Source organism: Homo sapiens, chromosome 1, assembly GCF_000001405.40.
Source record: "Homo sapiens chromosome 1, GRCh38.p14 Primary Assembly".
NCBI classification, from domain to species: domain Eukaryota; kingdom Metazoa; phylum Chordata; class Mammalia; order Primates; family Hominidae; genus Homo; species Homo sapiens.
In genome coordinates, this window is record NC_000001.11 from 218,338,335 (window position 1) to 218,354,067 (window position 15,733).

Sequence of the window (15,733 nt, forward strand, 5' to 3'; positions counted from 1 at the left end):
ATTGTAGATATTAATGTCTTATAGAAAATTAGATTCTAGAAATTGAACTCTTCTCTGGAAAGAAAAATGGGCATTCAGTATTTTGGTCTCATTTAACCATGACGTAAACCTATGGCCAATGGAAGGTAGTAGTAGATGCCATGCTCTTTCGGGTCCTCACTTCCAAGGTGACAAAAGGAACAATGATCATGCCAAAAAGGGTGGCAGCCACATGTGTGCCCAAGGACAGGGCTATTAAGAATTTCTTTATTCAAAACACAGTAGAGGCTGCAGCAAGTGTCTTCAATGCATATGTGCTTCCCGAGCTGTATGTGAAGCTACATTATTGTGTGAGTTGTGCCATTCACAGCAGGAAGCCTGCAAGAACTGAACATCTCCACTTCTATTTAGACCTGCAGATGCTGGCACCAAAGCTCATGTAAGGAGCTGAGTCTTTAAGGACTGAAGCAAAACTATCCTCTGGAGAAAAGTAAAATGGAAATAGTACTTAAAAAAAATTAATAGATGCCGTTAATCAGAAGGTGAAAATTTTCCTGGCTGTGTCAATTTAGAGTTAACATATCACCCCAGGCTGTTGTTGTCAGTTTATTCTGTAACTTGCTACTGGATAATTCATTATAGGTCTTGCCTGAGCATGTCTGATAATTAAAACTTTATATTTGAATTATCTGGATGCTGCAGAAATGGAACTACTCTACTGAAGTGGTATCCAATAATTTACTATATACAGCTATTGGTTTTTTATTCCTAAGATACAATATATTGGCTATTTGCTGCTCTGTTACTTAATGACATTAGATGACTCATAAATGTAAGTGGTTGACATTTTTGCTATTAAGAATTTAGATATTCAAATTATGCTTTATAAATGAGGATTAGATTTTTATCATGTTATTGCCTAGGAGATAACAGGTAACTAAAACTTGATAATTAAGGATATCCCATTGCTGTTGATCTAGCATCTTTTCTAAAAATGCATGTTTTACAATATTTATGTGAAACTAATTTTTATTTGATGTGCAGTAACAACAAATCAATGCAAAATTATACATTAATGAATTTAACAGTATGAAGTTTTAAGACATACCACAGCTTTCCTCTAGGTGGCATGATTTCAGCTATCATTGAGTCAACTGATAAAAATCCTTTTTCCCTACAAGCACACGAGTATGTAGTTTCTGAACAATCAGTATAAGTGTGACATTGATTAGATTTAATTGTTACAACTGGTTAAATAACCAGATTGACCTTATAATAGTCTATTGTTTAATGATCTTAAGTAACTTAAAATTGTAAGACAAAGTCCTCTTAAAGAAACAGATACAAAAAACTTGTTACCTCCAATAACCCAGCAGGCAAAATTATTTGTCTCTTCAGGTCACAATGACACACCCATTTCTGGATTTATTTCTTTGGCATATATTTATTTCTTATGGTAGATAGTGCTATTTGCTTGGAACAGTAATGATACTGCCTTTTTACTTAAAAGGACTCATATAGATGTAACAAATCTAAAGAGAAACCACAAATGGTAGGATTCTTGATCACAAAAATTTTCACGTTAACAGGAAACAGCCCCTTCAATTATGTGAAAGTAACTTTCCTGGTGTCCCTGGTTTTATGAAGCAGTTACTGTGTGCTAAACAAGAAGGATCAACATGTGAAAAGTCATTATTATGTGACCTGCAAGCATCAAACAACAAACAGAAACACTGTTCTTTTTTTTTCTGTACTGGCACTAAAATGGGAAGGGGGGCCAAACTCGTTTTTACCTTTGGGATTCTTTTTCTGTTGTTGATTTTCAAAAATTTAAAAATGAATTTCTCTGGCTATACAAAGAATACATAAAATGCTTGTTAATCCCATTATTGTTGTATTTATCTTCTCCTACCTTTCTCTGTGGGAGACTGCTTTCATGGAGCTCAAAAGAACTTGACCAAGCACCTCTCGGGGGTTCATTTTTGTGGCAGTGCAGGTTTATATTAATGCTAAAATTGTGCAAGTAGCATTTTCAAAATGTATCTCTGATGGTGATTTTTAGAATATGCTGCATAGGCAAAGGAAAAAAAAGGTCTTGGAAGTATGCAAAATATAATATCACCACTGTAACCGAAAAAAGGTGAAAGACTAACAGATGTATTCTTACAGATTTAAAGTGGCTTCATTTTAAATAAGGTAATTATCTGGGAGAGTCCTGATTTACCCCTGTTGTCTTAGTGTATCAATGAGTGGCATCCTCTTTACTGCAAAAAATGTTTGGATTTGTGTGACAAATGATGTAGCTACCCTAGTTATGAGAACTTTATTTTCTACTAAGATTTCAAATAATCATCAGTGAGAGTTTGTGGTCTGTAGTCTCCCGTTTTATAAATTATAACCATCTATATAGCTGTGCTTTTCAAAATACTTACATACTTAGGCTTTTAAAAATACTTATTTACTAATTTTTCCCTCTATCATAAACTACACTGAGGTTTTCTTTTTTTATGCAATTACTATTGACCCTTGGTTTTTATTTATTTATTTTTTTTTTAATTGCAGGCTAATCGAGGCAGCAGAACGGCATATTTGTTTGAAATGTAGGTTGGTAATTTTGGCAGTGGAAATTTAGACATTTGGAATTTTACCCAATCTATGAAGCCCACTGAGATGATGACAGACACATAAATTCATTTAAAGACCATGTATCTTTAAAAAAAAAAAAAAAACTTTTGTTATATTATACTCATTTTAATTATGAGAACACAGTCATATTTTTCTCTATCACTCACCTTCTCTTTTTCTTTCTCATCTTTTGTGTTTATTTTTAGTTGGCCAAAACACTCTCTCCATTTCTCCCCAGCAACCTCATTCTGGTTTCTTGCTTTGTGAAGTCTATCTGTGAACTTCTGTGGTGACAGAGTAAATGAAGGAGGAGTAGAGATTCTGTAAAGGTGAGTGTCAAGTACTGCCCTAAAAAATAAGGAAAATTCTGCTGCTGGTTTCTTTTTGTCAACATTAGGATTTTGTTAAGCACTTATCCATAGCGTTATGCTGTGTCCCAACTATTACCATATGTTCATTTATTTATATCAGTTACTAAATGCTATCTTAGTGGGTGAATTTCACCAGGGGCAAGAAACCAGAGGCTGCAGCTACAGGGATGACATAGCACAGGCCACTGTGAGACTGCCTCCCAAAGAAAGACTTTCCTGGAGAGCTAAAATTGTAGAGTTATGAGTGGCCCAAAAGCCACAAGCAGTAATCAATCAACTAATCATAATTCCAAAGGGTGAGATAATGTTCCCACAGTGTATCATTAGTGTGATGAGTTTATCTCTTTAAAGCCTCACAACCTGCTGATATGCTGTGGTTTTTCTTGGTCCTATCTCTTTATCTTTTACCACCTCTGATCTCTTTAAACCCACCCTGTTTCCATTTTCCTCCCCGCCCATTGTTTCCTCATTTTTCCTTAACACTTCTTCCTTAGATTAACCTTTAAATACAAATGGAAATAATAATCGGATTATTTTTTGTAAGGAAACCACCTTTCTGTTTCATTATTCATAACTAGAATAATGAAATAAAGCTGTTTATAGAAATGCATCTAGAACATGAGACAAAATTGATATAGACCAAACATTGTTCTTGAATAGTGGTATCAAATATAAAATTATAAATAAAATCTTAAAAGACTTTTGGTGTATTTTCATATTAAAGGGTTATTTTGCATTTATCAAGTATCACTATTTGGGGGGAAATGTAATCAATTACCGTCGTTCCATGTATTTCTTTTTTTCACCTCCTGATTTTTCATGCTTGAAACCGTTCTGGAAAGCTTCCAGAATTGTTACAAATGAAGTTATGCTTTGGTCAATGTTAGTAAGGACCTATGATCCATAGGCGTAAAACTCCAGGACAGGGATGAGTAGTTTTGTTTTCTTCAGCCTCTTGTAGAAATCCCACATTACTTAAGTGAATAGACCCATTGATGAGTGGAGAATGGCTAAGAGTGGAAACAGCTCCACTCTCTACCTCTGTAATTTCAAAACAAAAGATTCCATTTGAGGGCTTTAATAAGAGACTTTAATCGTGAATGCTTAACTGAACTTTGATAGTCATTTAGCATTTTATTCACCAAAAGTGTATTTTCTTGTCCTTCCCTCCTATAATTACTGGGGGCAAAATACCATAATATTTAAAATGTGCCTACAGAAACTACTAGGAGGCAGAACTAGAAGCAAATTCTTCTTGGGTTCTTTCCTGGCTTTTCAGAGAGAGCGAGAGAGAGAGAGAGAGAAGGCCAGATATTTTTATTATAAATTCCTTGACAGAAATAAAGACATGATAGGATAAGAAACTCACAGAGTCAGTGAGTAACTTGTTCAGGATCACAAAGCCAGAAAGTGACAGAAATCTGAACCCAAAAAACCATGACTGGAGCCTGCCCTTTAAACCACTGTGCTCTCCTGCCTCCTTGAAGTAATCAAGATGGGTGTATATCATTTAAATACCCTTTTACCATGAAGACTGTAGAGACCCCGGCACATAAGACCTCCATTAAATATAGAGATGAAAAGGCATTATAAGAGCCATTTAATAGAAGAAATGATTCATTTACGGTTACCAGGGAGACAGCTCTAGCAATCTTGCCGGTTAGGTCTTCAAAGAACTGATCATTTGAGAGGTGGAAAGGGGCTCCTCCTCTCCTGCTATACTCACTTACTGCACTTACCCATTCCAGAAGCTTTTACCAATACCTCCCGTCTTACCCTCCTGGGCTTTGGGGAAATTAAAGTAGCCTCTTATGAGTAAGTCAGGGGTCTCAGGTCTAAGGAGTTGTTAAGTGAGCAATAGGTACTCAGTAAACTAAGTATTATGAACAAAAGTGTGTATGTCTATGTCAGGAAGAGGGGTGGCCATCAGAATTTATGGCTTGCGCTGTTTTCCTAGAAGTGATGTAAATGAACTTTTGCTACTCTATCCACACTCTAATCTGAATCTACTTAAGGTGCATCAGTGTCTGTACCAAGAAGGTTGTCTATAAACATGAAAGATGCTCACTGGCTTGTGGAAGCTGAACCTGTATCCTCAGCAAAATACAGTGATAGCTAATTCAGGTAACCAGCCATATTCCACAGCAGCATCTTCTCTCAGTAGCTCTGGTTTGGAGCTCCTGCTCTGTGTCTATAATGGCCACAGGTGTAAGAATATTCACTTTTTGTCCAATCTGTAGAGCTAGCCTACTGCAGTTCTCAAACTGAACTCAGAGGGAGGACCTAACTGGATGAAACTACTAGTCTGACAGTAGCGCCTCTTGATTATCTTTTTCTTGGGCTACTGGGATGGTAGCTTTGCTTCAACTCAAAACTGGTATCAAGGAAAGGAACCTGCTGGTGCTGATTTATACATAATTTTTAGAATTATTCAGAAGTGGGTTGGAACAATTATTTTATTCCAGAGTTTTTCAATGTGTGATAATGGAAAAAATTCTGTATTCAAGGGAGTTTGGAAAATGCTGGGTTAAAAGAGTGAAAAGGTTTTCTCTTCTACAGGAGTTTCAGAGCCTTTAACATGATAATGTTCCAGAATGAGGAATCTAAGAGGACAGGAGAGTACCCAGTATCTCCCAAACTTGTTTGACTCCAGAATTCCTGTTTGTCAGAACATATTCTGGGACCATTGTTTCTCAGAAGTACATAGTAGGTAAGAACATAGTGGATCCTGACTGCAAAAATCCAGCTCTACCACTTACTGTGGTCTCGAACAAAGTACTTAACTTCTTTGTACCTCAGTCTCCTCATCTGCCAGATATGGATAATAAGACCCACTTTATAGGTTCATAGTGAAGATTAAATGACCATACACAACACACATCAAATTACTAAGTGTAGTATATGTTAGCTATTATTATTTTATTTATTCAGTGCTCTACTAATAACCTAGGCCCCATACACAACTGAAGTATAAATTCCAAAAGTGATAGAAAGTTCTTTGTGACTTTTCTGAACTCAGGAACATCTGAAGTAGAGAACAGTATAGAGATCTTGGGTTTGGGAGTACATTCAACAGAGTTTCCAGTTTAAATCATCTGTCTGGTCAGTATGGCTGCAGAGTCATGCCGAAATGAAAATGTTGACTTTGAGTAACTAAAGGTAAAATAAAAGAAAAAGGGAAGGTGGAACAGTGGTAAGAGTTATTCTTGTATTCATCTAATTTAGACTTAGTTGAAATTGAAAATGTCAAGTTATGAGTAGTGTAGAACAGTAGACATCAAACACTTAAAATTCCAGCTTCCTGGATTAATGCTATGGAAAGAATGAAGTTGGTTGATAATGTTTAGCCTAGCAAGAAGGTGAAGAAGAAAGCCATACAAGAAGTGGCTTAGGCAGCAAATTATAAAGGTGACCATTCATTCAAATCAGTAAAACAAACAAGTATACCTTATTCTTTAGGTAAAATTGATGGATCTCTGTTTTCCAGCAGTTCACAAACAGAGGGGTACATTGTAAACAACAAACTAACAAAATAAATTCTGGGATGGCAACCTGCTAAGGTATCCCAGAAAATAAGAGGTAGGACATGAATTTAAAAGATTGGAAGGTATGTCTTCAGTACTGGCCTGGCCCTGAGTAGACTAGTGCTCCCTCCCATAGGGGTGCGTGTGCACACATAATACAGGAGGGAAGCCTTCCCTTCTAGAGCAAGTGATTCAGCTTGGGAGGCTGTGACTGAGCTACACTAAGTAAAAACGGGAGACTTGATTGTCCTTCCTTCAACAGACCTGTCCAAAATGACTGGAAAGTAAATACCGTAAATCACTGTTGTCAGGGCGCACATTCCACCTCCTTCCTCCCTTACCCACAGCGGTCCTCATTTCCACACTCCCTCAACGGTTCGGGGAGAGCTCGTGGTCTAAGTAACGAGAGGACTTCTGACTGTAATCCTAGCACGTCACTTTGTTGAAGGCAGACACGTGGTTCAGAGAGAACTTATAAATCTCCCCTCCCCGGCAAGATCGTGATGTTATCTGCTGGCAGCAGAAGGTTCGCTCCGAGCGGAGCTCCAGAAGCTCCTGACAAGAGAAAGACAGATTGAGATAGAGATAGAAAGAGAAAGAGAGAAAGAGACAGCAGAGCGAGAGCGCAAGTGAAAGAGGCAGGGGAGGGGGATGGAGAATATTAGCCTGACGGTCTAGGGAGTCATCCAGGAACAAACTGAGGGGCTGCCCGGCTGCAGACAGGAGGAGACAGAGAGGATCTATTTTAGGGTGGCAAGTGCCTACCTACCCTAAGCGAGCAATTCCACGTTGGGGAGAAGCCAGCAGAGGTTGGGAAAGGGTGGGAGTCCAAGGGAGCCCCTGCGCAACCCCCTCAGGAATAAAACTCCCCAGCCAGGGTGTCGCAAGGGCTGCCGTTGTGATCCGCAGGGGGTGAACGCAACCGCGACGGCTGATCGTCTGTGGCTGGGTTGGCGTTTGGAGCAAGAGAAGGAGGAGCAGGAGAAGGAGGGAGCTGGAGGCTGGAAGCGTTTGCAAGCGGCGGCGGCAGCAACGTGGAGTAACCAAGCGGGTCAGCGCGCGCCCGCCAGGGTGTAGGCCACGGAGCGCAGCTCCCAGAGCAGGATCCGCGCCGCCTCAGCAGCCTCTGCGGCCCCTGCGGCACCCGACCGAGTACCGAGCGCCCTGCGAAGCGCACCCTCCTCCCCGCGGTGCGCTGGGCTCGCCCCCAGCGCGCGCACACGCACACACACACACACACACACACACGCACGCACACACGTGTGCGCTTCTCTGCTCCGGAGCTGCTGCTGCTCCTGCTCTCAGCGCCGCAGTGGAAGGCAGGACCGAACCGCTCCTTCTTTAAATATATAAATTTCAGCCCAGGTCAGCCTCGGCGGCCCCCCTCACCGCGCTCCCGGCGCCCCTCCCGTCAGTTCGCCAGCTGCCAGCCCCGGGACCTTTTCATCTCTTCCCTTTTGGCCGGAGGAGCCGAGTTCAGATCCGCCACTCCGCACCCGAGACTGACACACTGAACTCCACTTCCTCCTCTTAAATTTATTTCTACTTAATAGCCACTCGTCTCTTTTTTTCCCCATCTCATTGCTCCAAGAATTTTTTTCTTCTTACTCGCCAAAGTCAGGGTTCCCTCTGCCCGTCCCGTATTAATATTTCCACTTTTGGAACTACTGGCCTTTTCTTTTTAAAGGAATTCAAGCAGGATACGTTTTTCTGTTGGGCATTGACTAGATTGTTTGCAAAAGTTTCGCATCAAAAACAACAACAACAAAAAACCAAACAACTCTCCTTGATCTATACTTTGAGAATTGTTGATTTCTTTTTTTTATTCTGACTTTTAAAAACAACTTTTTTTTCCACTTTTTTAAAAAATGCACTACTGTGTGCTGAGCGCTTTTCTGATCCTGCATCTGGTCACGGTCGCGCTCAGCCTGTCTACCTGCAGCACACTCGATATGGACCAGTTCATGCGCAAGAGGATCGAGGCGATCCGCGGGCAGATCCTGAGCAAGCTGAAGCTCACCAGTCCCCCAGAAGACTATCCTGAGCCCGAGGAAGTCCCCCCGGAGGTGATTTCCATCTACAACAGCACCAGGGACTTGCTCCAGGAGAAGGCGAGCCGGAGGGCGGCCGCCTGCGAGCGCGAGAGGAGCGACGAAGAGTACTACGCCAAGGAGGTTTACAAAATAGACATGCCGCCCTTCTTCCCCTCCGAAAGTAAGTACTTATTTTGACTTCCATCCCCTGAGGTTTAGCTCTGCCCGGAGCTCTCAAAACCGCAGCAGCTCCCGGGATCGCCCTTCCCTCTCGCGGTTCCCGTTCGCTCTTTTCCCGTTCTCCTGTCCTTCACCCCACCACCTCCTTTTCAGTTGTATGCTTGAGGCCATCAGGCTTTAAAATGTTTACTTTCTACTTTATTTTCTCCATCTTTCCCTTCCCCCTAACAATTCGGTGCTTTAAAAGGCGTTATTCTCTTTTTCTCTTCCCTGAAGTTCTTTAGTCGGCCACCAGCTAGGAGTCAGCCCCACTCTGTCAAACTAGAGGTGCTCCCAGGGGCAGAGTTAAACTGAGGAATCTTGGTAGGTTTGTTTTCTTTGCTCCGATTGGCGTGGAGCGCGCCGAACTGGTGCACGAAGGGTTAAAAAAAGTGTCTCAAAACTAGCCTCTCCGGAAGGCGCCCCCTTTCCGTGCTGACCTATCAGCTGGTTCCCCAAGCCTTCTCTATTGTCTCTAACTACCCTAAAAATGTCAGCATCGCCGAGACAAAACCCGGTTTGGAGACCCCTCGAGAAACCTACCTGGCCCTCAGTCCTTGATGTATCATTTGCTATCACTAGGTGTTTCATTACCCAAAGGCAAAATCCTATAACCACGTTCCCTTTTCACTTAACCTGGAGTGTAGAAAGGACAACTCCGTTTCTGACTGTGTTTTAAAAGGTTTTGTTCACGTTATTTTTCAGAATACACTCAAACCTGCCTTCTTCACATCTCCAGTGTAGCAGATCATTTTTCTTACGGGTCTGTTATCCTGCTCCTGCCTTTTCGTAGGCTTCCTGCAGTTACTTCAATGCATTCCTAAAACTCAGAGTAGACGACAGCCGTATTTTTTTTTTTTTTTTTTACTGGCTTCTCTGAGAACAGTGTCCTCAAAACCAGCTGGCATACAGTAGCAATAGGAGTGAAATGATTTATTGCAGAGGAAGGGAACAGACAGTGTAGAATGATTTCAGAGTTCTTAAAAAAAGAAAAAAAAGAAAGAAAGAAAGAAAAGGGGCAGCAGCATCCACTTGATACCTGAGAGGGTTAAATACCAGGAAGAAGAAAAAGAAAAGTGGGGGCGGGGTGGGGGGAACCTCTTCAACATTTGTGTATTCCAAATCCCAAGTCATAAACTTTTCATTGGTTGCTCATTTCTCTCCTCCCCTTTCCATGCCCTGTATACTTGCTGGCTGCCTTTGCAAAGTCTCTGTGTCTTGCCTAAATAGATAATATAGCCATCTTGGTAATTTTCTCTTAAAGGTTCTAGTTGCAGGGTGGTGCTTTTCTTTTTTAATATTTATTTTTAGTTTGACAAGTCCTAGCTATGTGACCTGCCATGTCTTGTACTTGATGGTCTCAGAAGTCAGCCCATGTATCTAACCCCAGTCTTCCTAGTGACCCTTATTTTGCTGCAGTTTCTCCTGTTCTTGTTCAATAGCAGAACAGATGCAGAGAATTCTGGCAAGCAGGATGATTTTATTATTGTAATTATGGCACTATCCGCAACAGCGGTGATAAATACACTCCACCCCTGGTTATCCCCTTTGGGAAGTAAAGCTTTCTATCTGGGGTGGAGCCAAGGAGATATTAGGAAAGAAAGTTCATTGTAATTAGTCCAAAACCATTGAGACAAACAAGGAGTTCAGTCAGTTTGCTTTCTCTAGCATGTGCATCGGTTCTACCGGTATTTGGGCAGAGCGGAAAGTATGTTATGTAGAACCTGAATAACTCATCTTTCAATGTTTATATGCAAAAGGTCTAATAAACTGCCAGCACTTCTATAACACAGAAAGGAGCTCTGATCCCATTTACTGAATAGGTGTGGAGAGAGCAAGTAACCCAAGAGGGCATTAGTTCTTTGTTCTCTGAAGCACACTTCAGTCTGAAGAGCTGAGATGATCCAACCCAGGGTCATGGTCATCAACAAACTGGAAAAATTCCTAGATTATTAGGAGGATTTCAGAGTATGGCATTTAACATCAATGTGTGGATTCTCCTTTCCATTTCACCCCAGCCACCAAATAAATGAAAACCTCCGATACGTCCAAGATAAATAAAATATACTGCCAGTTTTCATACAAAGAATACAGGCTTTAAAAAGTCTGTATTCTGTATGGAAGTTTAGGAGCAGAAAGCCATATTAATAGCAGGTTCGATACTACTGTGCAAGGACTGGATAATTTTATAGAAAATAGGTTAACTGATTTTCCAGCACTTTTTAGTTATACTGGAATATAGCAAACCCTTCCAAAAAAAAGGAAAAAAAGAAAAAAACCATATTTTTAAAAAGCAAATTGAAAGTACAGCATTGGCTTATATACCAGCTTTCCCTCTTTAGGACTTTTCTGCCTAACTTTTAACTCAGCTGTCACTGAAGTGGCTGTGGGGAGGGAGTGTGCCTGTCATTCCTTGCAGTGAATCTGGCGAGGGTCATAAGCCCCAGAGATGAAGCCATGGGAAAGATCACTGGTTCATTTTTTACCATCAACTTATTAGCGTTCAGGGAGTGACTTCAGCTCAAGTATTACAAATATGCTCTAATTATACTCAATGAGCTATATATCATTACAGATTGCTGATAGCCCTTTGTGGGACATTTTATAAAGTTCAGACTACATATTTTTAGCAATGTGGAGATTTAAAAGTAAAAATATAAGAGATATTGTATATGCCCTGAGGCATATTTTGTCTTAAATATTATCCTTGGCCAAGTATACTATATAAATACAGTAAATATGAATAGAACTGGCCAGGTGCCAATCTCCTAGGATGAATTTTAGTCAAGAATGTATTTATGGGATATAAATAATACTGTGTCAACATTTAAAGAAGGGGTCTGATTAGTTTTGAATTTATTCATATTGATCTTTTCACGTGCTGTTAGTTTAAGACTCGAAGTGGAGTTATGCTAAGGTTTACCGATAGTTTGCCCACTGGGAATTAGTGGACCTCTAGTAGTTTAACAATCCATTTGAAGTTCGAGGCACATCTATTCGAAAGATGCTGCACAAGGTTTTAGAAACTTAGAAAGGGTGATTCAGTTATACACAGGAAGAATTCAAATAATTGACATGTAAGAATCTGTAGAGAGTCCGACAATCAAAAAGAGGAAGAGACACAACGTTTCATTTTCTTTCTTTTCTCTCCCTTTTTCATTGTAACCAATCAGCACATGTTGTGGTTCTAACCCTGGTGATTTTGTACTCCCCCCAACACCCGCACCCCTACTCCCACTGGAACGTTTGGCAATGTCCAGAGACACTTTGGGTTGTCATGACTGGAGGTGGAGGGGTGCTACCGGTATTTAGTGGGTCAGCCAGGGATGTTTCTAACCATCCTATAATGCATAGGGCAACCCCCCATTCCCAACATCAAAGAATTATCCTGACCACAATGTCAGTAATGCCTCTGTTGAGGAGCCCTGGTATTTGTTGGGGGTTACTGAATTCTGTTAACAGTACCATTTAGAAAATAATAACAAAAATAAAATATCTTTATGATCAAAGCATATTCAAATGAGAATACTGAATAGGAGGATAGTCAGACAGTTATCTTAATTAAATGGAGTGTGGATTAGACCATTGTATACAGTATGTACTTTATTTTTTGTGGTCTTAAAGCCCCTAAATTAGAGACATCAAAACTTCCCATTTATTTAGCTTAAGTGATGGTGTTGACCTATCCATTACTAGCTTCAGTCAGCAGCAGTGTGATGTTAGAACAGAGAAAAAAGAAGTGAGGAATTATCATGGATTCCCCTTGCAAGGGAAATAAGCAGTTTGTGTTAACAAAGAGTGGAATCTCCAAGCTAGGCAATGGAAGAAAGTAAATAATCATCTTGATTTATTCTACCATTTTGAAGTAGATACACTAAAAATATACAGCCTGAAAAATCACAATGAGATTCCCTTTGTAGTTGTTTCACATGAGTGTTAAACATTTAACATGAAGCAATCTCCTTTTCTATTTCCTCTGTAATTTTCCAAGTTAAATTGTGGAATGTAGAATGAATACCAATGACACTATGGTTTTGGGGAATGTGACTTAGCATTCAATTCATGAATATGTCTTTCTATATACAAGTTGCTGGTCTGTTGGCCACTTGCCCAATGAAGGAAAATGTTAGCGATTGCTGGAACGTAGTGGTATTTTTGCTTTATGTAGTAAGCATTTTTACTATTTTATTTTTTAGGATTCTCTATGTGTGTGTTTGCATGTGGGTGTATGAGATAGAAACAGAAAGAAAAAGAGAGCGTATCAAAGACAGACTTGAACTTCTTGACTTCCAGAATGATTGAGTTATTAATATACAACAGACCAAACTTTAATTCTCCCTTTTTTATTGCATCGTTGCTTGTACTAACTCTAGTGTCTAATTGTGGTTACATTTAAGTTAGGTCACATGCTCCTCCTTCAGGATTTCCTCTTTTTTTTACTTTTCAAAGACTAGAAAAACCTCTCAAAGAAGTATACTATTTATAACGAAAGCAGTTGGGTCGTCTTTGTTGCCAAGTGAGGCCAGCCAGCTTTATGCCTCTCCTGAGGAGACCCCACCCGATGAAAGAGGGGCTTTGCAGAGGTTGAGGGGCAGGTGGGGACCTCTCCACCTCACAGAAGGAAGGGGTTGGGGGAGCCCACTGCGTCTCCACAGCAACCCCTGTGGTCTACTCGAGGAGTTGCACTTTTTGAATGATTTCTCCCTGGTGAAAAGATGGTGATGTAACCTAGTCGCAGCATCTTTCATATAAAGATATGAAAGAATGACAGATCGTTTTTCCTAGAGGAAACTGAGATGTGAAAAAAGGGCTAATGACTCACTGTTGAACCCACATCAAATCTGGGTTAGAACCAAGGAGTTCACTGACTTGTAGGCCTTCGCCCAGAGATTACAACACACTTTAGGCTGCATATTTAGAAGGTTCGAGAAATTAGAGTGGAGGCTCCTGGCCCTGGGAGAGGTGTGCAGGGTCACCACTGGAGTGGGACTCTGGCCCACTGCCACTCCAGCCCGCCTCCCCCTGCCCCTTGCCCACAGCACCCCCACCCCACCCCGCCCCATTATAGGTTCAGGAGTAAGGTGAGCAGCCGAGCAAGAGACTGCATGGAAGAGCTCTGGAAATAGCCCCTTCCGCTATCTTGATGTAGCATTTCCGGTACTGATGGGCTCCCGGAGAGAGGATTTGGATTTGCCAGATGTGCTTGCTCTATTTAGGCAGCGCTTCTGCTCAAGGGTGGATTCCATTTTGCAGATTCTGCACAGCTTGATGAAATGTGGCTCTGCCCGAGATAAACAAATGCCCATTGTCATTTTGAAGGCATATGTGTGCTTTCATTTTAAAAAATATCCTTTAAACAATGATAGTTTTTAACCTGGGAATTCAACGTTCTCCAGGTATTTTATTTTAGATTTAATAATATGTTAGGGGATTCTTTGATGGGTTTGTTTAGACTGAAAAGTTTGCTTCTGTCATTTGTTTGGAATAAATTTGCATCATGCTACAACCACAAGCTGCTTTTGATGGTTGGCTGTTTTGTTTCTTTTCTAAGCGCTGATATCCAGAAGTGGGTGTTTAAGTGCCCCACACTCTCACCACTACCTTACTTCCTGAATTGGCTTGGTGGTCTTGACTCTGAATGAAACTGCCCCTTGGCCTCTTCCCTACCATCTCTAAATTGCCTTCTTTTCCTTCATTGTGATGGAATGTCTGCATGGATGGATGGTCGAGTGCTCACATATCATGTCCCATTTGATACTCTACTGAGTTTGTGGGAGACAGCACCCCCTTTACTTAACCAGGCCTCAGTTTCTTCCCTTGTAAAGATGAAGAAAGTAACACTGGCCTTCTAGGGTTGTAAGGATTGATGATGACATATGTGAAGAAGCACCTAGTGCAGCTGCTCTGGCATGGAGTAGGTCTTCTTTGCCTGGCAGCAATTCTCTGAGTCTCAAATGCCTTTGACTTCAGGGTATACCATTATTTTATGTGCCACTAAGAAAAAAATATCACTTCAGTGATCATGCCATTGATTTTAAGAGAGGGTCTGGATTTTAGGGAGATGAAAATGTGATTATGAGCGATACCCCAGGAACCACTTCCATTAACCTCGGATGTCTTGGAACCTCCAGCTCATTCTTTTCCTTTGCGATAGTTCCACTCAGTGGATCTCTTTCCTTTGCTCACTCAGTTTGTTCCTTAGGTGGCCTCTGACACTTCAGGGCAGGGATGGGATGGGGCTGGAAACAGAGAACATAGGGTTGGTAATTCACCATGTCTGGCACTATCCAGTTCTCCTATGAGAAGGCCTGAGAGTTTAGGCAATTAGATTCAGGCCTTTCAGGGTCTGGTCCCTCCTCCTTGCTCAGCCCCTCCTCTCACTAAATCCCTGCATGAAAACTATACTCCAGTCACATTGTCCTCTTTGCCTTTACCCAAATGGGCCATTTATTTTCATGCCTCTGGGGTCTTTGTTTATGCTGTTTCTTCTACATAGAGATCTATCTTTTCACACCTTTAAAAATCCTTCTGCCTGGTGTGGTGGCCCACGCCTATAATCTTAGCACTTTAGGAAGCTGAGGCGGGAGGATCACTTGAGGGCAGGAGTTGAAGACCAGCCTGGGCAACATAGCAAGATCTTGTCTCTACAGAGAATTTAGTTGGGCCTGGTGGTATGTGCCTGTAGTCCTAGCTACTTGGGCGGCTGAAGCAGGAGGATTGCTTGAGCCTAGGAGTTTGAGGCTGCAGTGAGCTATGACTGCCCCGCTGTCCTCCAGCCTGGGCAACAGAGCGTGACCCTGTCTCTAAACATAACAAAATAAAACAAAATATTTCTGGGCTTAGTCAGATGCCACCTCCTTAGAAAACCTTCCTTGATTGTCCTAGTCTTATTTAATTAGCTCTTCCTTTGCACTCTTACTATACTGATGGTTATCTCTATCTCTCCCTCTTTTCTTTTGATCTTAGTAAGATCTAACTCTGT

The 15,733-nt window shown here is 41.2% G+C and overlaps 1 protein-coding gene, 1 long non-coding RNA gene and 1 pseudogene across 5 annotated transcripts in view, besides 3 other annotated features; 2 read left to right on the top strand and 1 right to left on the bottom strand.

Annotated features, from left to right (window-relative positions):
• Positions 212-497, top strand: RPS26P17 (ribosomal protein S26 pseudogene 17; annotated as a pseudogene).
• TGFB2-AS1 (TGFB2 antisense RNA 1) lies at positions 5,862-7,344 on the bottom strand. Its single transcript, NR_046268.1, has 3 exons — positions 7,269-7,344; positions 6,841-7,054; positions 5,862-6,128 (listed from the first exon to the last, which is right to left on the bottom strand). It is a non-coding gene; the product is annotated as a TGFB2 antisense RNA 1 (long non-coding RNA).
• Positions 6,930-6,989: a silencer, noted in NCBI's record as "silent region_1819". NCBI's record gives its function as "represses an Ori minimal core promoter by ATAC-STARR-seq in GM12878 lymphoblastoid cells {active_cell/tissue: GM12878}" and the evidence as "EXISTENCE:reporter gene assay evidence [ECO:0000049][PMID:35858748]".
• The window catches only part of TGFB2 (transforming growth factor beta 2), a 99,284-nt gene continuing 90,552 nt past the window's right edge, over positions 7,002-15,733 (top strand). For all 4 annotated transcript variants that reach the window (NR_138149.2, NR_138148.2, NM_001135599.4 and 1 more), the window contains exon 1: positions 7,002-8,713. Coding sequence is in view for 2 of the 4 variants with exons in the window: in NM_001135599.4 (NP_001129071.1) it covers positions 8,368-8,713 (346 nt within the window). In the remaining 2 variants the exon portion in view is untranslated. The remainder of the gene's footprint in view (positions 8,714-15,733) is intronic.
• Positions 7,370-7,419: an enhancer, noted in NCBI's record as "active region_2541". NCBI's record gives its function as "activates an Ori minimal core promoter by ATAC-STARR-seq in GM12878 lymphoblastoid cells {active_cell/tissue: GM12878}" and the evidence as "EXISTENCE:reporter gene assay evidence [ECO:0000049][PMID:35858748]".
• Positions 8,551-9,051: an enhancer, noted in NCBI's record as "H3K4me1 hESC enhancer chr1:218520227-218520727 (GRCh37/hg19 assembly coordinates)". NCBI's record gives its function as "activates a minimal SCP1, AML or CMV promoter by ChIP-STARR-seq in primed H9 embryonic stem cells {active_cell/tissue: H9 hESC(primed)}" and the evidence as "EXISTENCE:reporter gene assay evidence [ECO:0000049][PMID:30033119]".